This window comes from Homo sapiens, chromosome 17 (assembly GCF_000001405.40).
Source record: "Homo sapiens chromosome 17, GRCh38.p14 Primary Assembly".
NCBI classification, from domain to species: domain Eukaryota; kingdom Metazoa; phylum Chordata; class Mammalia; order Primates; family Hominidae; genus Homo; species Homo sapiens.
In genome coordinates this window covers 38799743-38825774 of record NC_000017.11, presented here as the reverse complement: position 1 = coordinate 38825774, position 26032 = coordinate 38799743, and the positions used below count along the sequence as shown (strand labels likewise).

The window sequence follows — 26032 nt, the reverse complement described above, 5'->3', positions numbered from 1 at the left end:
AAATAGGCCTGGCATAAGGGGATTTGCTGTGAGTCAAGGTCTGAGGAAAGCGCCAGTTTGCAAAGCCGTTTTGGAAAACTGGAGCGTGGGGGTGTGTGCAGGGTGAGGGGAGGAGGCCTAGTCTGGTCCACCTTAGGTCTAGCAGAGACTACGTGGAGCTTTGAGCCGAATGCCCTGGTGAGCTGCCATGGCAACACAGCCGTGGGCACAGGCCCACGGCAACCCATCACTGAACAGAGTTGTGGCGTTTCAACAGAGAGTCTGGGACATCAGGCAACGTGGCGACCCGAAGCAGCCAAAATGAGACCTCGACAGCAAAGGCCTCGACAGCGGAGCCCGGACCTTTGCAAAATCTGCAAGTAACGCCAACGTCACAAAGCGCGACCGAGCCCTGTACGTCATCGTTCCGCGACGCCGACGCGGTGAGATGACGCCCTCCCGGAAGTGACCTCTAGAGCGGTGGTGAAACTGGCAGTTGACGGCTCCTGGGACTAGATCCCGCGAGGTAGCCCCCGAACTATTTCTCTACGTTTTCTCTTGATCCTCCCGAAATCTTCCAGATCCGCGTAGTGAGGAATCGTCTCCACCGTCATGGGGGGCGGAGACCTGGTGAGTGGAGGGAGGCCTGGGCGGGGGAGGACTGAGGCCGGGACGGAAATTGGCAGGGGGTGGGGGTAGAGGAAGGAGTGGATAACCATGGCAACGCAGCTTTGCTTTCGCCGGGAGGAGGCCGTTGCCCTGAAGAGGGGATGGATCCTTAGGGCAATGGAGGGGTGGGACTGAGATTTGGGAAAGTCCGAGGTGTGTCGCGAACAGTGACAGGTGGTGTTTGCGTGTTTGTTGACTGCGGCTCTACCGGCTGTAAATTCTGGGAAGACCGGGGAGGGGGCGGATGGAGCCATGGCTAGGAAAGGAGGTAGATATGGAGGACGTGTCACCACACTTTGTTTTGTATATCTTGTCTTGCCACACACCTCTCTTCCTTGGGTGAGAGTTCAGAGTCATGTCCTGGACTGAAGTAGGGGTGGTTTGTGCCCCATTCTCCCTACCCTAAGCCATGCCCTGGGGTCGTTTTTTATTTTTTATTTTTTTGAGACGGAGTTTCTTGTTGCCCAGGCTGGAGTGCCATGGCGCGATCTCGGCTGACCGCAACCTTTCCCTCCTGGGTTCAAGCGATTCTCCTGCCTCAGCCTCCCGAGTAGCTGGGATTACAGGCATGCGCCACCACACCCGGCTAATTTTGTATTTTTAGTAGAGACAGGGTTTCTCCATGTTGGTCAGGCTGGTCTCGATCTGCCGACCTCAAGTGATCCGCCCGCCTCGGCCTCCCAGAGTGCTAGGATTACAAGGGTTAGCCACAGCGCCCGGCCCTGGGGTCCTTTTTAAGCCTGAAGGGATCTTCCTGTCCATCTTTCTGACTTCCACACCTCCTTCAGTGCTGGATTCTGATCTGTAGTGGCAGAGCTTGCTTTTGAATTCATACCACTTAATATAAGTTATGTGGCAATGTCTCTTAAACTGAAACGTTCATTTGTAAAGCGCTAAGGCCCCAAATAGGGTAAATGTACCCACAAGAGCATGGGGCAAGGTTGGGAAAATGCTAGCCTCCGGAAAGTGGAGCTAATTGAACCAGCAAGTAGATCAGCTTAGCCGCCTGCCCAGTAAACCTATTAGTTTGTCATGTGTTCTCAATCACAGTGAGTGCCAGGACTCCATCTAGTTTCATCCAATTTAGTGTATTCTTCACATAACTGCATTTAAGGACAGGAAAGCTCTAATCCAGGGTTTCTCAACATTAGCGCTCTTGACAGTTTGGCCTAGATAATTCTTTGGGGGTGTGTGGTAGTGGTGGTAGTTGGGCTGTCCTGTGCATTGTAGAATGTTTAGCAGCATCACTGGCCTCTAGCCACTAGACTGGAGCTATCCACTAACACCCGTCTCCACCAGTTGTGACAGCCAAAAATGACTCCAGAAGATTTTCTCCCTGGGGAGCAAAATAATCTATGCTTGAGGCAGGGAGGACAAGATGGGAAGGGTTAGAGGGAGAAAGAGGGAGGGAGTGAGGGAGGAAGGACGGAAGGATGGACGGATGGTCAGACCAACTGACGGACTGACCCACAACCAACCAACTGAATGACCTGACGAAGGGGAGAGGCAGGACAAGGAGGGGAAGAGAAAAGGAAGAAAAGGGAGCTCTCATTGACCGAACATTTTCCACATGCCAAGTACCTTGTGGACATGATCTTATTTTCTTAATTGGTCTCCTGGTCCTCTCCAGTCCATTCTCTTTTCTTTTTTTTTTTTTAAGATGGAGTCTCAGCCAGGTGCAGTGGCTCATGCCTGTAATCCCAGCACTTTGGGAGGCAGAGGCGGGTGGGTCACGAGGTCAGGATTTGAGACCAGCTTGGCCAAGATGGTGAAACCCCGTCTCTACTAAAAATACAAAAATTAGCTGGGAGCAGTGGCGGGCGCCTGTAATCCCAGCTACTTGGGAGGCTGAGGCAGGAGAATCGCTTGAACCCAGGAGGTGGAGGTTGCAGTGAGCCAAGATTGCACCACTGCACTCTAGCCTGCGTGACAGAGCAAGACCTCGTCTCAAAAAAAAAAAAAAAAAAGTTAAAAAAAAAGTTGGAGTCAGGCTGGGTGTGGTGGCTCACACCTGTAATCCTAGCACTTTGGGAGGCCAAGGCGGGCAGATCATGAGGTCAGGAGATCGAGACCATCATGGCTAACACGGTGAAACCCGTCTCTACTAAAAATACAAAAAAAATTAGCTGGGCATGGTGGCGGATGTCTGTAGTCCCAGCTACTCAGGAGGCTGAGGCAGGAGAATGGCGTGAACCTGGAAGGTGGAGCTTGCAGTGAGCCAAGATTGCGCCACTGCACTCCAGCCTGGGCGACATCTCAAAAAAAAAAAAAAAAAATTGGCCAGGCGTGGCGGCGCATGCCTGTAATCCCTTTACATGGCTTATAAGGCCCTTATTCTGCTCCTTTCTCACTTGGCTTCTTCTTGCGTCCCTGCACCATCAGCTTGCCACATCTCCAGCCACACTGAATTATTGCTATGTTCTTTCTCACCACCAGGACTGCACTTGTCTGTACTGTTCCCCTCTGTTTGGAAATCTACCCCCCTCATCTCCCCTTCACACATCACCAGGCTAGTTTACAATTGTCTTTAGATATTACTTACTTTGGGGAACATTTCATTATTGGGAAAGTGAACCAAAGCAGTATCTGATGGGGAGGAGAGAGAGAAGTGTTCTTTGAGGGTGAATGGGGAGATCAGAACCAAGGAGAGATTCCTGGGAAGGAAAGTTGAAAGAGATTCTGGGTGGGTTGTAAACCATGCAAGTTTAGGGCAGGTGAAGTAGACCAAGCTAAGGTAGGTTGAGTTCCAAAGAATGAATGTCCATGCCAGGCACGGTAGCTCATGCCTGTAATCCCAGCACTTTGAGAGGCCAAGGCAGGCGGATCACCTGAGGTCGAGAGTTTGAGACCAGCCTGACCAACATAGAGAAACCCCATCTCTACTAAAAATACAAAATTAGCCGAGTGTGGTGGCGCATGCCTGTAATCCCAGCTACTCAGGAGGCTGAGGCAGGAGAATCATTTGAACCCAGGAGGCAGAGTTTGCCGTGACCCGAGATCCTGCCATTGTACTCCAGCCTAGGCAAGAAGAGTGAAACTCCGTCTCAAGAAACAAAAAAGGCTGGGCACGGTGGCTCACCCCTGTAATCCCAGCAGTTTGGGAGGCCACTGCGGGCAGATCATGAGGTCAGGCGTTTGAGACCAGCCTGGCCAATGTGGTGAAACCCCATCTCTACTAAAAAATACAAAAATTAGCCAGGCATGGTGGCACGTGCCTATAGTCCAGCTACTCAGGAGGCTGAGGCAGGAGAATTGCTGGCACCCGGGAGGCGGAGGGTGCAGTCAGCCGAGATAGCTGCACTCCAGCCTGGGTGACAGAGTAAGACTTTAAAAAAAAAAAAAAAAGAATGAATGTCCACTGTCAGAAGTGCATGAGTTCTGTTCTCTTTCAAAATATGTGCCTTCCTGCTCATTACTGCATTCCTCCTGTCTTGTCATCACCAACTCTGATTTAGGTATGGCTAGTGGAAGGATGACTTGTATGCTTTTAAGGTTAAAACTGTTTGAAGGGAATTCAGGAAGGACCCGTTCTATCCTGAAGCTTTCTTGTTCTTGTTCTTGTTGTTTTGAGACGGAGTCTTGCTCTGTCGCCCAGGCTGTAGTGCAGCAGCGCAGTTTCGGCTCACCGCAACCTCCGCCTCTTGGTTCAAGCGATTCTCCTGCCTCAGCCTGCTGAATAGCCGGGACTACAGGCGCACCTGCCACCACGCCCAGCTAATTTTTGTATTTTCAGTAGAGGCGTTTCATCATGTTGGCCAGGCTGGTCTAAAACTCCTGACCTCAAGTGATCTTCCCGCCTCCGCCTCCCAAAGTGCTGGGATTACAGGTGTGAGCCACTGCGCCCGACCTGTCCTGAAGCTTTATACACTTGAACAAGCTCCCCTTCCCCTCTAGATGTGTGAGAGATTATTGGAAGAAAACCTTGCCATTGTTGAAGACATCTTGCCCTCACACGCCTGCCTTGGGTATGGAAGGGTGGGTGAGGCAGGGCTAGTTATACCCACCACTCAGTCACCCCCCGAATTATCATCACCTTCTTTTTATTTACCACAGAATCTGAAGAAGAGCTGGCACCCGCAGACCCTCAGGAATGTGGAGAAAGTGTGGAAGGCCGAGCAGAAGCATGAGGCTGAGCGGAAGAAGATTGAGGAGCTTCAGCGGGAGCTGCGAGAAGAGAGAGCCCGGGAAGAGATGCAGCGCTATGCGGAGGATGTTGGGGCCGTCAAGTAAGTGAGGAGCTGGGGGTGCGCTTGTGTGTAGGGAATTGCAGAGCTGTCCTGAGATGCATCATCCAGTGTTGTATAATGGCTGAGTGCTTAAGGGCATGGGTTGTAATGCCAGACTCACCTGGATTCTAAGGTTGGCTTTGCATGTACTAGCTGTGGAACTGTGATCAAATTTGAGAGACTTGGTTACTTCAGTAGGACCAGGGAGTAATAATACCCAACGCCTTCTTAAGGTTTGTTGAGAATCAAATGAGATAACACGTAAGGACTTGCTGTAAGCCGAGCTCACAGTAGATGGCTGATAACCGTGATGGAGGATGGTTGCTCTACCCTGCTTCTCAGCATATGTTGAGGATGCAGTCCTGCCTTTGTTAATGTATTTCAGGCTTGCTTGGGTCGGCGGGGACAGGGGGCAGGGAGTGAGGTCCCATGAGAGAAGGTGGATGGTATGCTTGTCAATAAAAGCTGAGTGATTACGGCCAATGCCACTAGATTTTACCCTGCTTCAATTTCCTGTTGTATAATATAGGATACGAGTAGCAGATAATAACTACCCCATCCATCTCATAAAAGGAGATGGGAGTAAATATGTTTGAGAAAATAAAAAGCATACAATATGCAGTGTATTCTTAAGTCAGAATAAAATAAAATAACAGATAGACTAAAACTGGGGACTAGGTGCGGTGGTTCATGCCTGTAATTGCTGTATTTTGGGAGGCTGAGAAATCACTTGAGCCCAGGAGTTTGAGACCAGTCTGGGTAATGTAGTGAGGCTCCATCTCTGTTTAAAAATATATAGGCTGAGTGTGGCGGCTTATGCCTATAATCCCAGCACTTTGGGAGACTGAGGCAGGCAGATCACTTGAGGCCAGGAGTTCTAGACCAGTCTGTAGTAGGAACCCATCTCTACAAAACAATAGAAAAAAATTAGCCAGGCACGATGGCTTACGCCTGTAATCCCAGCACTTTGGAAGGCCGAGGCGGGCAGATCACTTGAGGTCAGGAGTTCGAGACCAGCCTGACCAACATGGTAAAACCCTGTCTCTATTAAAATACAAAAATTAGCTGGGTGTGGCGGTAATCCCAGCTACTCAGGAGGCCGAGGCAGGAGAATTGCTTGAACCCGGGAGGCAGAAGTTTCAGTGAGCTGAGATCATGCCACTGCACTCCAGCCTGGGCGACAGATTGAGACTCCATCTCAAAAAAACGAACAAACAAAAAAAAAATAGAGGCTGGGTGCAGTGGCTCACGCCTGTAATCTAGCACTTTGGGAGGCCGAGGTGGGCGGATCACCTGACGTCAGGATTTCGAGACCAGCCTGGCCAACACGGTGAAACCCCATCTCTACTAAAAAAAAAAAAAAAAAATTAACTGGGCGTGGTAGCATGCATTTGTAGTCCTAGCTACTCGGGAAGCTAAGGCAGGAGAATCGCTTGAACCCAGAAGGTGGAGGTTGCAGTGAGCTGAGATTGCGCCAGTGTACTCCAGCCTGGCGACAGAGCGAGACTCCGTCTCAAAAAAAAAAAACCAAAAATTAGCCAGGCATGGTGGCACATGCCTGTAATCCCAGCTACTCGGGAGGCTGAGGCAGGAGAATCACTTGAACTCAGGAGTTGGAAGTTTTAGTGAGCTGAGATCACGCCATTGCACTCCAGCCTGGGTGACAGAGTAAGACTTCGTCTCAAAAAAAAAAAAAGAAAGAAAGGAAAAGTTAGCTGGGCATGGTGGCATGTGCCTGTAGTCCCAGCTACTTGGGAGGCTGAGGTAGGAGGATTGCTTGAGCCCAGGAGTTCGAGGCTACAGTGAGCTATGATTTTGCCACTGACTTCGGCCTGGGTGACAGAGTGAGACTCTGCCTCTAAGTAAATAAATAAATAAATAAATAAGTAAAAATTGATTTTAGACTGAATACCCATTAGTCATAAGCCGAGGTACTATCCAAAGGTAAAAATTGTTTTGACATTTTTATTCACCAAAGCATTACACATCATGTGCTCAATTTATCAGAAATTTGGGCTTTTGTGGAGTCTGATTAATGAGGTCAGAGTACAGATGCACAACTGTAGAGAAAGGAGCCAGCATTGTTGCAGACTCATGCCTGCTTGTCTGTCGTGAATGGGGGAAGGTGATTTTATATGCTTTGTTTTGTTTTGCCCTATCACATGTCCTACAATATTGTAAAACACTAAGATCAGCATTTGGTTCTCTCTGCCCCTTCTCTTTTTGGTCTTTACTGCTAATGTATTTAGATGACTTAAGTATTCATCTGTTTGTTTTGTATAGTTCTTTTTTTTTTTTTTTTTTTTTTTTTTGAGATGGAGTCTCGCTCTGTTGTCCAGGCTGGAGTGCAGCACGATCTCGGCTCACTGCAAGCTCCGCCTCCCGGGTTCATGCCATTCTCCTGCCTCAGCCTCCTGAGTAGCTGGGACTACAGGCGCCCGCCACCACGCCCGGCTAATTTTTTGTATTTTTAGTAGAGACGGGGTTTCACTGTGTTAGCCAGGATGGTGTCGATCTTTGACCTCATGATCCGCCCGCCTCGGCCTCCCAAAGTGTTGGGATTACAGATGTGAGCCACAGTGCCCGGCTGGTTTTATTTTTGTTATTTATTTTATTTTATTTTTTGAGATGGAGTCTCATTCTGTCGCCCGGGCTGGAGTGCAGTGGTGCGATCTTGGCTCACTGCAACATCTGCCTCCTGGGTTCAAGCGGGTCTCTTGCCTTAGCCTCCTGAGTAGCTGGGATTACAGGCGCACATCACCACGCCTGGCTAATTTTAGTATTTTAAGTAGAGATGGGGTTTCACCATGTTGGTCAGGCTAGTCTTGAACTCCTGACCTTGTGATCTGCCCGCTTCAGCCTCCCAAAGTGCTAGGATTACAGGCGTGAGCCACTGCACCCGGCCTATTATTTATTATTATTATTATTATTTTTTGAGTCAGAGTCTTGCTCTGTCTCCCAGGCTGGAGTGCAGTGGCACAATCTCCGCTCACTGCAGCCTCCACCTCCCAGGTTCAAGCAATTCTCCTGCTTCAGTCTGCTGAGTAGCTGGGATTACAGGCGTGTGCCACCACGCCTGGCTAATTATTATTATTATTATTGTTATTATTTTTGTGTGACAGAGTCTCGCTCTGTCACCAGGCTTGAGTGCAGTGGTGCGATCTCGGCTCACTGTAACCTCCGCCTCTTGAGTTCAAGCGATTCTCCTGCTTCAGCCTCCCGAGTAGCTGGGACTACAGATGCACGCCACCAGGTCCAGCTAATTTTTGTATTTTTAGTAGAGACAGGGTTTCACCATGTTGGCCTGGATGGCCTTGGTCTCTTGACCTTGTGATCCGCCCATCTTTGCCTCCCAAAGTGCTGGGATTACAGGCGTGAGTTACTGTGCCTGGCCTAATTTTTTTGTATATTTAGTAGAGATGGCATTTCACCATGTTGGCCAGGCTGGTCTTGAATTCCTGACCTCAAGTGATCTGCCCGCCTAGGCCTCCCAAAGTGCTGGGATTACAGGTGTGAGCCACAGCGCCCGGCCCCATGATCAATTCTTATTTTTTTTTTTTTGAGACCGAGTCTCGCACTGTCACCTGCGTTGGAGTACAATGGCATGATCTCAGCACATTGCAACCTCCACTTCTCGGGTTCAAGCGATTCTCCTCCCTCAGCCTCCCGAGTAGCTGGGACTACAGGCGTGTACCACCACGCCTGGCTAGTTTTTTGTATTTTTAGTAGAGACGGGGTTTCACTGTGTTGGCCAGGCTGGTCTTGATCTCCTGACCTCGTGATCAGCCTGTCTTGGCCTCCCAAAGTTCTAGGATTATAAGTGTGAGCCACCGTGCCCAGCTGATCAGTTCTTAACTGTAGACTACAGTGTTTCTCAGACTCATTTTTTTAATATGAAAAAAATTCTAAAGGGTCTTGGGGCCAGGCACGGTTGCTCACGCCTGTAATCCCAGCACTTTGGGAGGCCAAGGCTGGCAGATCACGGGGTCAGGAGATCGACCAGCCTGGCCAACACGGTGAAACCTCGTCTTTACTAAAAGTACAAAAAATTAGCCAGTCTTGGTGACACATGCCTATAGTCCCAGCTATTCGGGAGGCTGAGGCAGGAGAATAACTTGAACCTGGGAGGCAGAGGTTGCCGTGAGCCAAGATCGCTCCACTGCACTCCAGCCTGGGCAACAGAGTGAAACTCTGTCTGGGGGAAAAAAAAAAGGGTCATGGCCCTGCAGTGTTGGTTTAAATTATTCTTACCAAAAATGTCCAAGCATGCAACTAGGAAAACATTCTTTATGCTCACAGTTGTTATATAACCTCAAAAACAAGTATACACATTTAAAAAGTCATATTCAGGTTGGGCATGGTGGCTCACCCTTGTAATCCCAGCACTTTGGGAGGCTGAGGCAGGAGGATCACTTGAGGCCAGTAGTTTGAGACTAGCCTGGGCAACATAGCAAGTCCCATCTGTTTAAAAATTGAAAAAATAAAAAATCAGCAAGGCATGGTGGTGCATCCCTGTAGTCCCAGCTACTTGGGAGGCTGAGGCAGGATTTGTTGAGCCCAGGAATTCAAGGCTGCAGTGAGCCATGATCGCACCATTGCATTCCAGCCTGGGTGACAGAGTGAGACCCTGTGTCTAAAAGAAAAAAAAGAACAAAAAAGTCATATTCAAAAAGCATTTAATTTCAGGTTATAGATAATACTGTCAATGAAAGTACTTTCCTGGTTGCAGTGTGAATGTAGTATTGGCTGCTTCCACGCATGCTCTTATGAATTTAGCCTGCCTTTACTGTCTGTGGTATGAGGGTTCCACTTTCTCACCACTTTTTTCTCCCAGAACCGCAGGGAAATGTTTGTGTGGCATGATGCTGTGACTTAATTTGGCCCCTAGATGGCTGAGACCAGGGTTTATTCACTTGTGAAACCCAGATAGTTACCTAATGATTCACGTATTCAGTGTTTGGCTCTTTTGGCTTGAAAGCGTCACTTATTCAGTTACCTCTGATTTTTTCCCATCATCCCCTCAAATGTGTAGTGTTACCGCTGGTGTCTGTGTGCCCACAAGCACCAAGATGCACAATCAATGCAACTGCGTATGTGGTCACTGAAATTGTTCTTGATGGTAAGATGGTGATGTAGAATGTGCTTATTCATTGTTTTAGGTCATCTTGGAAATGAAAGCATAATATAAAGACTCTGTAAAGGAGACTCGAGAAGCTCTGAGCCAAGATCCACACCCCATGTTGAGGAACACTGGTTTTCCTTATAAATTGCTTTATGTGAGTGAATATTCTCTCTCCATTCACTCGTAAGCCTCATGAGGACAAGCACCATTTATTTATTTATTTATTTGAGACAAGGTCTGGCTCCGTCACCCAGGCTGGAGTGCAGTGGCGTGATCTTACTGCAACCTCTGCCTCCCAGGTTCAAGTGATTTTCCTGCCTCACCCTTCTGAGTAGGTGGGATTACAGGCGTCCGCCACCACGCCTGGCTAATGTTTTGTATTTTTAGTAGAGATGGGGTTTCATCATGTTGGCCAGGCTGGTCTCGAACTCCTGACCTCAAGTGATCCACCCGCTTCGGACTCCCAAAATGGTGGGATTACAGGCATGAGCCACTGCACGCAACCCGCACTATTTCTTTATGCCGGCCACATGGGGTGCCGTGTTTATTGCATGGTAGGTGCCAGTAGAATGAACTCTGATTAGCTGTGGTTCTCTCTCCCTTGTGTCCAGGTTTTAGGTGTAGGTTTGCAGAAGTCTGCTTTTTAAAGAAATTGTATTTCTTTTTCTTCCCTTGAACCAGGAAAAAAGAAGAAAAGTTGGACTGGATGTACCAGGGTCCTGGTGGGATGGTGAACCGTGACGAGTACCTGCTGGGGCGCCCCATTGACAAATATGTTTTTGAGAAGATGGAGGAGAAGGAGGCAGGCTGCTCTTCTGAAACAGGACTTCTCCCAGGCTCTATCTTTGCCCCATCAGGTGCCAATTCCCTTCTTGACATGGCCAGCAAGATCCGGGAGGACCCACTCTTCATCATCAGGTACTAATGGGGGGCTAGGAAGGGGGTTTGTTACAGATGCTTTGAGACCCTGCTAAGGCCATTGATTCTCTTGCTTTACAGTTTTCTCTTCGCTTTTTTTTTTTTTTTTTTTTTTGAGACGGAGTCTCGCTCTGTCGCCCAGGCTGAAGTGCAGTGGCGCGATCTCTGCTCACTACAAGCTCTGTCTGCCGGGTTCACGCCATCCTCCTGCCTCAGCCTCCCGAGTAGCTGGGATTACAGGCACCCACCACCACGCCTGGCTAATTTTTGTTGTATTTTTTAGCAGAGACAGGGTTTCACTATGTTAGCCAGGATGGTCTCGATCTCCTGACCACCTTGTGATCCGCCCGCCTCGGCCTCCCAAAGTGCTGGGATTACAGGCGTGAGCCACCACGCCCAGCCTATTTTCTTGATAATATTAATGAGACCCTGGGTGCCTGTAGTCCCAGCTATTTGGGAGGCTGAGGCAGGAGAATGGCGTGAACTGAGGTGGTGCTTGCAGTGAGCCGAGATCACGCCACTGCATTCCAGCCTGGGCGACAGAGCGAGACTCCGTCTCAAAAAAAAATAAAAATAAAAAATAAAAATAAATAAATAAATAAATACAGTCAAAGTGTTGTGCAACCATCACCACAGCCTGTCTCCAGAACTCTTTCACCATTCTGAATTGAAACTCTATAACCATCAAAAAACAACTCACGGCTGGAAGCAGTGGCTCACGCCTGTAATCCCAGCACTTCAGGAGGCCGAGGCGGGCGGATCACGAGGTCAGGAGATCGAGACCATCCTGGCTAACACGGTGAAACCCCGTCTCTACTAAAAATACAAAAAATTAGCCAGGCATGGTGGCAGGCGCCTATAGTCCCAGCTACTCAGGAGGCTGAGGCAGGAGAATGGCATGAACCCGGGAGGAGGAGTTTGCAGTGACCTGAGATCGCGCCACTGCACTCTAGCCTGGACGAAAGAGCGAGACTCCGTCTCGAAAAAACAACAACAACAACAAAAAAAACAACTGACAGCCGGGTACGGTGGATCACACCTGTAATCCCAGCACTTTGGGAGGCAGAGATGGATGGATTGCTTGAGCCCAGGAAATTGAGACCAGCCTGAGCAACATGGTGAAACCCCATCTCTATAAGAAATATAAAAATTAGCTAGGCATGGTGGTGGGGGCCTATAGTCCCAGCCACTTGGGAAGCTGATGTGGGAGTATCACTTGAGCCCAGGTGGTCAAGGCTGCAGTGAGCCATGATCATGCCACTGCACTGCAGCCTGGACGACTGAGCATGACTCTTTTTTTTTTTTTTTTTTTGAGACAATCTCTTATATTTGTGAGAGATTTTTGGCTTTGACACCATCATGTCGTTTTTTATTTATTTATTTTTTTTGAGACAGGGTCTCACTCCGTCACCCAGACTGGAGTGCAGTGGCACAATCTCAGCTCACTGCAACCTCCGCCTCCTGGGTTTAAGTTATTCTCCCACGTCAGCCTCCCGAGTAGCTAGGACTGCAGGTGCGTGCTGCTACCATGCCCGGCTAATTTTTTTGTTTTGTTTTTTTTGGTAGAGACGAGGTTTCACCATGTTGGCCAGGCTGGTCTTGAACTTCTGACCTCAAGTGATCCGCCTGCCCCAGCCTCCCAAAGTGCTGGGATTACAGGTGTGAGATGAGCCACTGCACCCAGCCCCATCATCATGTAGATTTTTTTTTTTTGGAGACAGAGTCTTGCTGTGTCACCCAGGCTGGAGTGCAGTGGCACGATCTCAGCTCACTGCAATCTCCGCCTCCCAGGTTCAAGCGATTCTCCTCCCTCAAGTAGCTGGGAGCGATTCTCCTCCTCCCAAGTAGCTGGGATTACAGGTGCACACCACCACACCCAGCTAATCATGTAGATTTTAACATGGGCCAGTTTGTCTGTATATGTTTGGAGAAAAGGTTACTCCATAGAATTTGGAGAAAAGAAATAGTCATGAATTTTGTAATTATCTCTCTTTAGGAAGAAGGAGGAGGAGAAAAAACGAGAGGTATTAAATAATCCAGTGAAAATGAAGAAAATCAAAGAATTGGTAAGTAGTATACCAGATAAGCACCAAGAGCATCTTTTAGCCATATAACGTGAGAACGTCTCTCCATTTACTCTCAGCTTACCAGGGGAAAAACAGAATGGCCTCTAAAACTTTTGTCTTTTAGAGACCATGTTGTGGCTATTTTATGTAATCATTTTTTTGTTTTTGAGACGGAGTTTCAATCTTGTTGCCCAGGCTGGAGTGCAATGGCATGATCTCAGCTCACCGCAACCTCCGCCTCCCAGGTTCAAGTTATTCTCCTGCCTCAGCCTCCCTAGTAGCTGGGATTACAGGGATGTGCCACCACGCCCGGCTAATTTTGTATTTTTAGTAGAGACGGGGTTTATTCATATTGGTCAGGTTGGTTATTTTATGTAATCTTAGTTTATTAAGCTTAATTAAGCTTGATTTTGGTTGAAAGTCTTTTGGGTGGGAGAATGCACCATGTGATGTCGTTTTTCCAGAAGAAGAGTGTGGGCTAAGCCTGTGGAAAGCATTACCATGCAGTGTGTTCAGGAGGTTGGAGTATGCCCTTGGTCGTGGTATAAAGCTTCTAGGGGCTGGGCGCGGTGGCTCATGCCTGTAATTCCAGCATTTTGGGAGGCCGAGGCGGGTGGATCACCTGAGGTTGGGAGTTTGAGACCAGCCTGACCAACACGGAGAAACCCTGTCTCTACTAAAAATTCAAAATTAGCCGGGGTGGTGGTTCATGCCTGTAATCCCAGCTACTTGGGAGGATGAGGCAGGAGACTTGCTTGAACCCGGGAGATGGAGTTTGCTGTGAGCCAAGATTGCGCCATTGCACTCCAGCCTGGGCAACAAGAGCGAAACTCTGTCTCAAAAAAAAAAAAATAAGGCTTCTAGGGCCCACTTACCATTCACATGACATATTATGTAATTGTGTCTTGGATCAGTTGGTAAGGAAAGTTAAAGATTGACCTTATAGTTCCTGACTGCTTTCAGTGGAATTGGAGTTCCTGTGACACAGAATGGAAACTCCTAGGCAGTGGTTTTGGTGACTGTTTAAAAACACAAATTCTTAGTCTCACCTACCAGATACCAGTTCAGTAGTTGGGGGTGTTAGTGCACGGCCAGGGTTAAGACCCTTCCCCTGGTGTGTTGACAGGGAACCCCTATAATGTCCTGGACTTCTGTAGACCCAGAGGCATGGAGTCAGGCAGTTTGTGCATGAGCCACGCCCCTCAAAGGAGACTGATAGGGGTCTCAGTAATCTTTTTTTTTTTTTTTTTTTTTGAGACGGAGTCTCGCTCTGTTGCCCAAGGTGGAGTGCAGTGGTGCAGTGACACGATCTTAGCTCACTGCAAACTCCGCCTCCCAGGTTCATGCCATTCTCCTGCCTCAGCCTCCTGAGTAGCTGGGACTACAGGCGCCTGCTACCATGCCCAGCTAATTTTTTGTATTTTTAGTAGTGATGGTGTTTCACCGTGTTAGCCAGGATGGTCTCCTTCTCCTGACCTTGTGATCCACCCGCCTTGGCCTCCCAAAGTGCTGGGATTACAGGTATGAGCCACCCCGCCTGGGCTTTTTGTTTTTTTTTAATGAGATGGAGTCTCACTCTGTCGCCCAGGCTGCTGGAGTGCAGTGGCGTGATCTCAGCTCACTGCAACCTCTGCCTCCTGGGTTCAAGTGATTCTTCTGCCTCAGCCTCCCGAGTAGCTAGAACTACAGGTACACACCACCACACCCAGCTAATTTTTGTATTTTTAGTAGAGATGGTCTTTCACCATATTGGCCAGGGTGGTCTCGAACTCCTGACCTTGTGATCCTCCCACCTCAGCCTCTCAAAGTGCTGAGAGATTACAGGCGTGAGCCACCATGCCCAGCCAGTAATCTTTTTTTTTTTTTTTTTTTTTGAGACACAGTTTCACTCTGTCACCCAGGCTGAAGTGCAGTGGCACAATCTCGGCCCACTGCAACCTCTGCCTCCTGGTTCAGGTGATTCTTGTACCTCACCTCTCAAGTAGCTGGTATTACAGGTGCCCACCACCACACCCAGCTGATTTTTGTATTTTTAGTAGAGATGGGGTTTTGCCATGTTGGCCAGGCTGGTCTCGAACTCCGGACCTCAAGTGATGATCTGCTCCACTCAGCCTCCCAAAGTGCTGGGATTACAGGCATGAGCCACTGCGCTGGCTGGTCTCAGTAATCTTGTGTGCTTGTGTTCTCGGCATTTTCCAGTTGCAAATGAGTCTGGAAAAAAAGGAGAAGAAGAAAAAGAAGGAGAAGAAAAAGAAGCACAAGAAACATAAGCACAGAAGCTCGAGTAGTGATCGTTCCAGCAGCGAGGATGAGCACAGTGCAGGGAGGTGAGCATGTGGCGACTGGCCTCCCTTCTCGTTGATTCACTTGCTCATTCACTCATTCATTCCACAGACATGAACACCTGCCCTGTGCTGGAAGCTGCCAGGTACTGGGCATTCAGTGATGAACACTTGAACATGGGCCCAGTGCCCACAGAGCTTGCCATCTAATGCTAGAGTTCCTTGGAGATGCTAAATGTGAGTGGGTATCTTGGCCATGCTGCTGGAGAGAGACCCTTAATAATGCTGACTTTAGCCTAGTAGGTCTTAGGTAGGTCAGACATCCTGGGGGTGACTCTGTTTCATCTCAGCTTAGGATTCCTTCAAGACTGAAGTGGGCTTTATATAGGCTTTTTTTAATGGACTGATGGCTGATGTGGGCCCATTTTGCATGTCTTCCTGTGGAAGCAGTCAGCTCCGCCGCTGCTGAGTCACTATTTGTCCCTGGAATAGCAGCATGAAGTGAGAGGAGAAGGTGTTCAGGCGTTGGGGCTTAGAAGCGAGGCCCACAGTTTTTCACAGGAAAATTTGATTGTGCTGATGCATTTTTCGGCATAGACAGTCCAAATAGAGAAACGTACTGCCAGGTAACTGCTGGGAGGCGGAAAGGTCACATTGGAGGCAAGAAGCATAGTTCAGCATAAGATATTTAAATTGGACCTATATATATTTTCTTTTTCAATGAGTGTGTGTATTTTGATCTCTTAGATCACAGAAGAAGATGGCAAATTCCTCCCCTGTTTTGTCCAAAGTCCCTGGATATGGCTTACAGGTAGGGATGTGGGCTTCTTGAAAGGAGTGACTGTGGGACTGTGGGATGTGCCACTTGGACAATGTGGATAGCAGGGAGGTGGGCAGTGAAGCCTGGGCTGCTGGGAAACAGGCCCATTCTTATCGCTGAGCACCTTCTTGTGGCTGATGACCCTCTGAGCAGAGAGACTAAACCACCAATGGGGCATTGAGACATTCTACCCATCCCTCTACAAATAATTTACATGAAATGCACACATTTTAAGTGTATAGGTTTTTTTGTTTTTTTTTTTTTTTGAGACGGAGTCTCGCTTGTCACCCAGGCTGGAGTGCAGTGGCGCGATCTCGGCTCACTGCAACCTCTGCCTTCCGGGTTCAAGCTATTCTCCTGCTTTAGCCTCCCGAGTAGCTGGGATTACAGGCGCCCACCACCACGCCCGACTAATTTTTGTATTTTTAGTAGAGACAGGGTTTCGTCATGTTGGCCAGGATGGTCTTGAACTCCTGACCTCAGGTGATCCCTCCGCCTCGGCCTCCCAAAGTGCTGGGATTACAGGTGTGAGCCACCGTGCCTGGCCTAAGTGTGTAGGTTGATGATTTTTGACAAACATAAATCTGCTGGGTTCTTTTTTTTTTTTTTTGAGTAGCAGTGCATCATTATTTTGCCTAGGCTGGTCTCGAACTCCTGAGCTTAAGCAATCTTCTGAGTAGCTGGAAGTACAAGTTCAAGGCACCTGGCTTGACTTCTGTATTTCTGTATTTTTTTTTTTTTTTTTTGAGGTGGAGTTTTGCTCTTGTTGCCCAGGTTAGAGTGCAATGGCGCGATCTCAGCTCACCACAACCTCGACCTCCTGGGTTCAAGCAATTCTCCTGCCTCAGCCTCCCGAGTAGCTGGGATTACAGGCATGCACCACCATGCCCGGCTAATTTTGTATTTTTAGTAGAGACAGGGTTTCTCCATGTCAACCAGGCTGGAGTGCAATGGTGCAATCTCAGCTCACTGCAACCTCTGCCTCCTGGGTTCAAGCGATTCTCCTGCCTCAGCCTCCTGAGTAGCTGGGATTACAGGCACCTGCCATCACACCTGGCTAATTTTTGTATTTTTAATAGAGACAGGGTTTCTCCATGTTCGTCAGGCTGGTCTCAAACTCCTGGCCTCAAGCTATCCGCCTGTCTCGGCCTCCCAAAGTGCTGGGATTATAGGCGTGAGCCACCATGCCTGGCCTCATATTTCTGTATTTTTAACCTTGGGTCCTGTCCTCCATGCTTCTGCATCTCGCTCTTCCTTAACCTATAGTGAAGAGCTAAGCCAGGTGTATTCTTTTCTTTCTTTTTTTTTTTTGAGAGGGAGTCTCGCTCTGTCGCCCAGGCTGGAGTGCAATGGTGCGATCTCGGCTCACTGCAACCTCTGCCTCCTGCATTCAAGTGATTCTCCTGTCTCAGCCTCTTGAGCAGCTGGGACTACGGGCACCCACCACCACACCCGGCTAATTTTTGTATTTTTAGTAGAGAGGGGTTTGACCATATTGGCCAGGCTGGTCTCGAACTCCCGACCTTGTGATCTGCCCGTCTTGGCCTCCCAAAGTGCTGGGATTACAGGCGTGAGCCACTGCACCCAGCCAAGCCAGGTATATTCTTTTCTTTTCTTTTCTTTTTTTTTTTTTTTTTGAGATGGAGTCTCACTCTGTCGCCTAGGCTGGAATGCAGTGGCGCCATCTCGGCTCACTGCAAGCTCTGCCTCCTGGGTTCATGCCATTCTCCTGCCTCAGCTTCCCAAGTAGCTGGGACTACAGGTGCCCACCATGCCCAGCTAATTATTTTGTATTTTTAGTAGAGACAGTGTTTCACCATGTTAGCTAGGATGGTCTTGATCTCCTGGCCTCGTGATCTGCCTGCCTCAGCCTCCCAAAGTGCTGGGATTACAGGCATGAGCCACAGCACCCAGCCATCTTTTTTTTTTTTTTTTTTGAGACAGGGTCTTTCTCTCTCATCCAAGCTGGAGTGCAGTGGTGTGATCCTGGCTCACTGCTGTCTTGACCTCTTAGGCTCAAGGGATCCTTCTGCCTCAACCTCCTGAGTAGCTGGGACTACAGGCGTGTGCTGCCACACCGAGCTAATTTTTAAATATTTTGTAGAGACAAGGTCTCACTAGTTGCTCTGGGTGGTATCAAACTCTTGATCTCAGGCAGTCCTCCTGCCTCCGTCTCCCAAAGTGTTGGGATTCAAGGTGTGAGCGACTGCACCTGGCTGACCGAAGGAGATTCTTTTAGGGGATTCTGCAGATAACTAAGTTTATACAGTTCTCTGTGATAATTCTATGTGATGATATTGGTGTGCTCAGTGAGCTCCTTATGTAACATTTCCTGTTTCACTGCCTTTTCTTTTTTTTTTTTTTTTTTTTGAGACGGAGTCTCGCTCTGTCATCCAGGCTGGAGTGCAGTGGTGCGATCTCAGCTCACTGCAACCTCCACCTCCTGAGTTCAAGCAATTCTCCTGCCTCAGCCTTCTGAGTAGCTGGGATTACAGGTGCCCACCACCACGCCCAGCTAATTTTTTAATTTTCAGTAGAGACAGGGTTTCACCATGTTGGCCAGGCTGGTCTCGAACTCCTGACCTCAGGTGATCCCCCCCGCCTCGGCCTCCCAAAGTGCTGGGATTACAGGCGTGAGCCACTGAGCCCGGCCGCGTTTTCTCCTGAATAGCTGGATTTTCCATGTGAATAACTTCTCTTTTCCTTAATGATGTAGGTCCGGAACTCTGACCGTAACCAGGGTCTTCAGGGTCCTCTGACAGCAGAGCAAAAGAGAGGGCATGGGATGAAGAACCATTCCAGATCCAGAAGCTCCTCCCACTCACCCCCAAGACATGCCAGCAAGAAGAGCACCAGGGAAGCAGGGTCCCGGGACAGGAGGTCTCGATCCCTGGGCAGAAGGTCACGGTCCCCAAGACCCAGCAAACTGTGAGTGTGGGATTCACTGGGAAATAACCTGTGACTGTGGGGGCCTGGTCCCAGCAGGCATTTGTTTTTGCTTTTGGTGATGTCCGTCCATTGACTTTCCCAAATGTCTTTGCTTTGGTATTTCCTTTACATCATTTTTTTTTTCCACCTCAATGTAAAGCTCAGGCATCCAAAGCCACATATCTGTAGGTGTATTCTGTGCTTTGGGAGCTCTGGGGTGAGTCTAACATCAAACCCTATACCTTTGTTTTTCTCACACTTAGATTATACCTCTAAGACCATTAGCTCATCTTGCATTGTTTGAGGGATTCAGTGTAAGCCCCTGGACCAAAAAGGCTTTTTCCTCTTTGCCTTCTGTGTCTGCTACAGGCACAACTCTAAGGTGAACAGGAGAGAGACAGGCCAAACTAGGAGCCCATCACCTAAAAAAGAGGTCTACCAAAGGCGACATGCTCCCGGATACACCAGGTGAGTCAGGAGCCCAGTTGATTAACCACATTTTGCAGGCCTGAATCTAGAAGGGGCTCAAACCATGGCAAATGGATAATCCATCATTACCTTTTCGACGAACCAACTTTTATTTATCTTGCCAACCTGTAAGGGTCTGCGTCCCCTGCCTCCAGCCATGTGAGGACATTGAAAGGACGAGGTAAGGCTGGGCGTGGTGGCTCACGCCTGTAATCACAGCAGTTTGGGAGGCTGAGGTGGGTGGATCACCTGAGGTCAGGAGGTCGAGACCATCCTAACCAACACGGTGAAACCCCATCTCTACTAAAAATATAAAATTAGTTGGTCATGGTGGCACATGCCTGTAATCCCAGTTATTTGGGAGGCTGAGACAGGAGAACTGCTTGAACCCAGGGGTTGGAGGTTACAGTGAGCTGAGATCTCACCACTGCACAGCAGCCCAGGCGACAGTGCAAGACTTTGTCTCAAAAAAAAAAAAAAGTCTCTTAACAAAAACCAAGCCAGACACAGCAGTCCATGCTTGTAATCTCAGCGCTTTGGGAGGCTAAGGCAGGGAGGATCACTTAAGGTCAAGGGATTAAGGTTGCAGTGAGCTACGATCAAGCCACTGCATTCTTGCTTGGGCGACAGAGCGAGACCCTCTCTTAAATTAAACCCTCTTTAAAAAACCCCTCAATTATTCTCTCTGGGTGTGGTGGCTCATACCTGTAATCCCAGCAGTTTGAGAGTCCAAGGCAGGAGGATCGCTTGAGGCCAGGAGTTCCAGACCAGTCTGAGCAACATAATAAGACACTATCTCTACAAAAAATTATTTTAAAAACATTTAAAAAAACAAAAGCTAGTAGTTCTTTGCCCTGCCTGATCCCACTTTTAGTCATGCTACCCAAAGGCAACTACTTTCAGCTTTTTCAGTAGTTTCTTTTCATAGCTACATATTCCTAAAAATACAAATATGTTGCTGCCTCTTCATCCATTAATTTTAGATATTAGATATTTTCTTTTTTCTTTCTTTGTTTTTTTTGGAGACAGCATCTTGTTGTATCTCCCAGGCTGGAGTGCAGTGCCACAATCTTGGCTCACTACAACCTCTGCCTCCGGGGTTCAAGTGATTCTCCTGTCCCAGCCTCCCGAGTAGCTGGGACTACAGGCACATGTTGTCACGCCCAGCTAATTTTTTTTTTTTTTTTCTGAGATGGAGTTTCATTCTTGTTGCCCAGGCTGGAGTGCAATGGCCCAATCTCGGCTCACCACAACTTCCGCCTCCTGGGCCCAAGTGATTCTCCTGCCTCAGCCTCCTAGGTAGCTGGGATTACAGGCATGTGCCACCACACCCAGCTAATTTTTGTATTTTTAGTAGAGACAGGCTTTCTCCATGTTGGTCAGGCTGGTCTCGAACTCCCAACCTCAGGTGATCTGCCTGCCTCGGCCTCCCAGAGTGCTGGGATTACAGGCGTGAGCCACCACGCCCGGGCTTCCTTTTTTTTTTTTTTTTTTTTTGTCTCGCTCTGTCGCCCAGGCTGCAGCGCAGTGGCACGATCTCGGCTCACTGCAACCTCTGCCTCCCGGGTTCCAGCGATTCTCCTGCCTCAGCCTCCCGAGTAGCTGGGACTACAGGCGCATGCCACCATGCCCAGCTAATTTTTGTATATTTTAGTAGAGATGGGGTTTCACCATATTGGTCAGGCTGGTCTTGAACTCCTGAGGTCAGGTGATCTGCCCGCCTCAGCCTCCCAAAGTGTTCGGATTACAGGCATGAGCCACAGCACCTGGCCCTAATTTTTGTATTTTTAATATAGATGGGGTTTCAATGTGTTGTCCAGGCTGGTCTGGAACTCCTGAGCTCAGGCAATCCACCTGCCTTGGCCTCCCAAAGTGTTAGGATTACAGGTGTGAGCCACCGTGCCCGGCCAGATCTTAGATATTTTCTTACTGTTATAGTAAATAATCTGTTAGTGTAAATGAGCTCTCATACACTCCTAGTCCCATGTTTCTTCTATCCCTATCTTTCCAATATGGTTACATCAGAATTTTTGGTTCAGTGAGTATGTGGATTCATACTTGTATGATATATAAATATTGTTTACTGATACTTTTCATTCCTAAGCCAAGCAGAATATGGAGGTTACATTTCCTTTCTTGTATGATTTGTATATTTTTTCCTAGTGTCAGTATTTGCTTCCTGCAATCTAAACCATGTCTTTGAGTTCTAGGAAATTTTCTTGTATTATTTCTTTGATAACTTCTTTCTTCTCCCTACAAGGTCTCACTCTGTTGCCTAGGTTGGAGTGCAGTGGGGCGATCATGGCTTACTGCAGCCTCACACTCCCAGGTTCAACTGATCCTCCTACCTCAGCCTTCCAAATAGTTGGGGCTACACGGGTGCCACCATGCCCAACTAATTAAAAAAAAATTTTTTTTTTGCAGAGATGGGAGGTCTCACTTTGTTGCCTAGGCTGGTCTTGAACTCTTGGACTCAAGCAATCCTCCTGCCTAAGCCTCCCAAAGTGCTGGGATTACGGGCTAGAGCCACTGTGCCTGGCAATCGTTTTTGTTTTTTTTTTTTAAGCCTCCTACTCTCATTTGAATGCTCTAATATCTTTCATTTATTATCTGAAGCAGATTTTTAATAGTAAATTGTTTTTCGTTTGGAGGTTTTTATTTTTTTTTGAGACAGAGACTCACTCTGTCACCCAGGCTGGAGTGCAGTGGTGCGATCTTGGCTCACTGCAACCTCCGCCTCCTCGGTTCAAGCGATTCTCCTGCCTCAGCCTCCCAAGTAGCTGGGATTACAGGCACACACCACCACACCCAGCTTATTTTTGTAATTTTAGTAGAGACAGGGTTTCCCCATGTTGGCCAGGCTGGTCTCGAACTCCTGACGTCAGGTGATCTGCCCGCCTTGGCCTCCCAAAGTGCTGGGATTACAGGCGTGAGCCACCATGCCTGGCCCTATTTATTATTTTCTGAGGCTAAGTTATTCCTTCAGCTTCTGGCTTCTAGCTTAGTCCTAAAGTAGTGTACTCATGGGCTGTGTCATGAATTTCTAGTCTCCAATGGGTAGTTAGATGGTAGATGTTAACAGTTACATGGATAACCTAGTCTTCTGTTCTTCTGTCAATTGTTGAGCAAACCATTGGGATATAATTGCTACAAGTTTAGGTTCCTGATGAGTTCCCAATTTATTTCATATTTCATATTTCAGAATAATCACTCTAGAGATTACTGAGTGAGATTATGGAATACTTTACTAAAAGCCTTTGAAATTTGGATGAAACCTCCTGACCAGGACGTTAGAAGGGAACTCAGGCTGGCCTTGCACTTGGAGAGAGCAGTGAACTGGAGAGCTTGGGGTCCCACCTGGCTTCTGTGCTTCTTGTGCTGCTTCTGGTTTTTTTGCTGGAAGAGACCTGATCGTATGGTTTCTGTGCTCAACAGAAAACTCTCTGCAGAGGAATTAGAGCGAAAACGGCAAGAGATGATGGAAAACGCCAAATGGAGGGAGGAGGAGAGACTGAACATCCTCAAGAGGCATGCTAAGGATGAGGAACGGGAGCAGAGGCTAGAGAAGCTGGACTCCCGGGATGGGAAGTTCATCCAGTGAGTGCATCTTCTTCCTGCCAGGGTCTTTCATGGGGAAGGTCTTAAGAGGCAGGCTGGCAGCTGGTTCCCGTTCCAGTGTTTCTGTGTTTGCACATGGAGCCCAGCCTTCAGACCACCTTGGCTACTACTCTTCCTTTCTGACCACACAGTGGGATGTTTTTCATTTGAGGGGAGGAGAAGTGAATTTGGTATTTTCTAAATCATTGAAATTCCTTGACCTTCCTTTTTAATAAGAATTCATGGCCCAGGAAGCCTTTTTCCAATGAGGCTTTGACTTATTTTCCAAAACAGATACATTTTCCCTTATGGACACTGGTTTAAAAACATTTGGTTCCAGGTGGAGTCACTCGAAAGTTATCTATGGGAGCTTAAAAGAGGTTGTGTTTTTACAGCTGCTCTATGGCTAACAACCCATTTCTTCTGAAGCTGCCAGAATAGTTGACTGATTGAAAATGTTTTTGACTTGCATTTGCCTGTCTTCTCTTCCTAGCCGCATGAAGCTGGAGAGTGCATCTACTTCCTCCCTGGAGGATCGGGTGAAGCGGAATATCTACTCTTTACAGAGAACTTCGGTAGCTCTGGAGAAGAACTTTATGAAAAGATGAAAACTGTCCCCTCTCTTATTGGTTTTCCTGCATTTTCCAGGGAAGCTGCTGACCCCTTAATTCTCTTTATAAGAGTTCAAATGACTTCTTTCACAGATGTCAAACCACCAGTGTTCAAAGTGACCCTGCTTCATTGAGTCCTGAAACAGCTCACTTCCTTTGAGAGCTAGTGTGACTTGCTTTGTGGGACACTCAGTAACTTTGGGTTTTGACTCTTTAACGGGTGGGCACTGGACCATCTCGGTGGGAGTGCTTGTGCCACTCTGGAAGGCTGTTCCCTGGGGTTGTGATGTTTATCATGCCACTTCCTTCTTACCTGTGCCAACAGACCTATTTCACTGCCTCAGCGTACACCAGACCCTTCAGAAACCTCTCTGGTGTCACCCAGATAGATTGTGCTTACTGAGACAAATGAACGTTTACTTGATTTAGAAGATAATGTGACAGAATGATGTCAGGTTAGGTCAAAGCCAAGGGAGTGACAGAATCTGGAAAATCAAACAATACAAAAAGCCCTAAATGAACTGTTAACTATTTGATCTTTGGATGTAAAATTGTAATGCGTATATGTACAAATGTACAATTTTTACATGCTTTTAAAAAAGGTTAGCTTTGTGAAAATACCTTGTTTGGTCAATGACTTTACTGGGTAATAGAACCACATTGAACCTTGATGGCAAGTAATACAATAAGGCAGGCCAGCTCGTTTTTCTCTCTGAATCTGGCTGGTTTAGGAGGAGCCTGGGTTTATCGACGAGATCTGGAGTATCTATTCTTTTCCACTGCTTGCAGTCTCCAATGTAGGCAGTGTAAAGGTATAGTAAAATGATTTTAGGAGTCAGAACCAAATTGCCAATATGCTCCATGGCTCCTAAAGGAAAATAAAATGGAAGTTTTTATTTTGCGGCTTCACTTCTTACCGTGTAGTAACCTTACTACAATTACAGATTTTCAGGAGTTGTTTGCTAGTCTCTTTCAGTCAGGTACTAAAAAAAAAACAAAAAACAGGCTGGGCGCGGTGGCTCACACCTGTAATCTCAGCACTTTGGGAGGCTGAGGTGGGCGGATCACGAGGTCAGGAGATCGAGACCATCCTGGCGAACACGGTGAAACCCCGTCTCTACTAAAAAAATACAAAAAATTAGCCGGGCGTGGTGGCGGGCGCCTGTAGTCCCAGCTACTCGGGAGGCTGAGGCAGGAGAATGGCGTGAACCCAGGAGGCGGAGCTTGCAGTGAGCCGAGATTGTGCCACCGCACTCCAGCCTGGGTGACAGAGCGAGATTCCGTCTCAAAAAACAACAGCAACAAAACAAAACCCTCGAGGGGCCACTCTCCTGTCTTTACTCCTTTTCCCTTCTCTATTCTTTCACCAGAAGCCCTCATTTGACCAGTGAACTCCTAGGCCCTCTTGACCCGCACATTAGCTGGGCGATTTCCTTGTTCTGCTAATTCCTAATTCTGCTTAAAATGTATTTGGATTTCTGTTTTTGAACACTTATGATGCCAGGCACTGTAATGCTTGAAACCCGATCTTTCCCTAGAGAATGTAACATACGTTTTTATTCATTTAATCACTTCATTATGCCGGGGTTAATTATGTTTATTTTATAATTGGTAATAAAGGCCACATTTATTTTTGTAACTGTTTAAAGAGCGACCACCTGTGGAGTACCGTGTTTACGAATTTCCATGCAGAAAGAACAACGTTGACCTGTAATTTGTGTCGAATATATGGAGATCCCTCATCTGAGAATTATGTAACAAAGCGTGGGGCAGTTTACTCAAAGATTTTACGAAATGAGCCAGAGTAAGACGATTAGTGGGATAGGTGTCTGAAGGTGCTGGCGGCCTCTGAGCTCTGACCCTTTGCGGGGAGAACAGGCAGCAGGTGGGTGGGCGCGGGGCCCATTCATAAAAACCAGTGTTCCTGGCCTGCTTCTCTCATTGGCCCTGGGGGCAAGGGGCGTGCCCCGCGGGTGGAGCGCGCCCGGGGCCCAGCAGAGTGGGCAGATCCACGCTTAGGTGGAGCGAGGGGGCGTTCCTTGGCTTTCTAGGCTGGACTTTCTCTTCCCCTTGCTGCGTCCCTCCTCTCCCCCGGGGTGGGCATGGTACGTCCCGCCCTCCTCGCATTCCCGTCCCTCCTTCCCTTCCGGAGCGGTGGCATCGCCGCCATCTTGGCATTCGGGTTGCGGGAAAGAGCCAAACCCTGGCGTTGGGGGGCCCGGGCGGGGAGCCCCTCCCGCGGTCCACAGCGACGCCTGCCCAGCCCTCCTCCCCTTCCGGCTCCGGCACGGGGCCCCGAGGCGTTCGGAGGCCAGGCGGGTTTCTGTCAGGCCCGGGGAGGAGGGG

General features: G+C 48.3%; 1 protein-coding gene across 4 annotated transcripts, besides 1 other annotated feature; it reads left to right on the top strand.

The window, feature by feature from the left end:
* Positions 1-453: 453 nt before the first annotated feature.
* On the top strand, positions 454-25334 carry CWC25 (CWC25 spliceosome associated protein). Of its 4 annotated transcripts, NR_073428.2 has the most exons (11): positions 454-609; positions 4702-4874; positions 10034-10150; positions 10678-10914; positions 12911-12980; positions 15180-15307; positions 16010-16073; positions 18799-19010; positions 19380-19478; positions 22914-23075; positions 23569-25334. NR_073428.2 is itself a non-coding variant. In NM_017748.5 (10 exons), exons 1-10 carry the CDS (start codon positions 592-594, stop codon positions 23681-23683), a joined length of 1278 nt encoding a protein of 425 aa, NP_060218.1. In that variant the 5' UTR covers positions 454-591; the 3' UTR covers positions 23684-25334. The 4 variants fall into 4 exon arrangements, 1 of the variants encoding a protein (NP_060218.1); NM_017748.5 differs by lacking the exon at positions 10034-10150; XR_007065311.1 differs by lacking the exons at positions 10034-10150; positions 19380-19478; positions 22914-23075; positions 23569-25334 and adding an exon at positions 15375-15499 and having other exon boundaries at positions 18799-18836.
* Positions 1115-1746: an enhancer, noted in NCBI's record as "H3K27ac-H3K4me1 hESC enhancer chr17:36980282-36980913 (GRCh37/hg19 assembly coordinates)". NCBI's record gives its function as "activates a minimal SCP1, AML or CMV promoter by ChIP-STARR-seq in primed H9 embryonic stem cells {active_cell/tissue: H9 hESC(primed)}" and the evidence as "EXISTENCE:reporter gene assay evidence [ECO:0000049][PMID:30033119]".
* Positions 25335-26032: the final 698 nt, after the last annotated feature.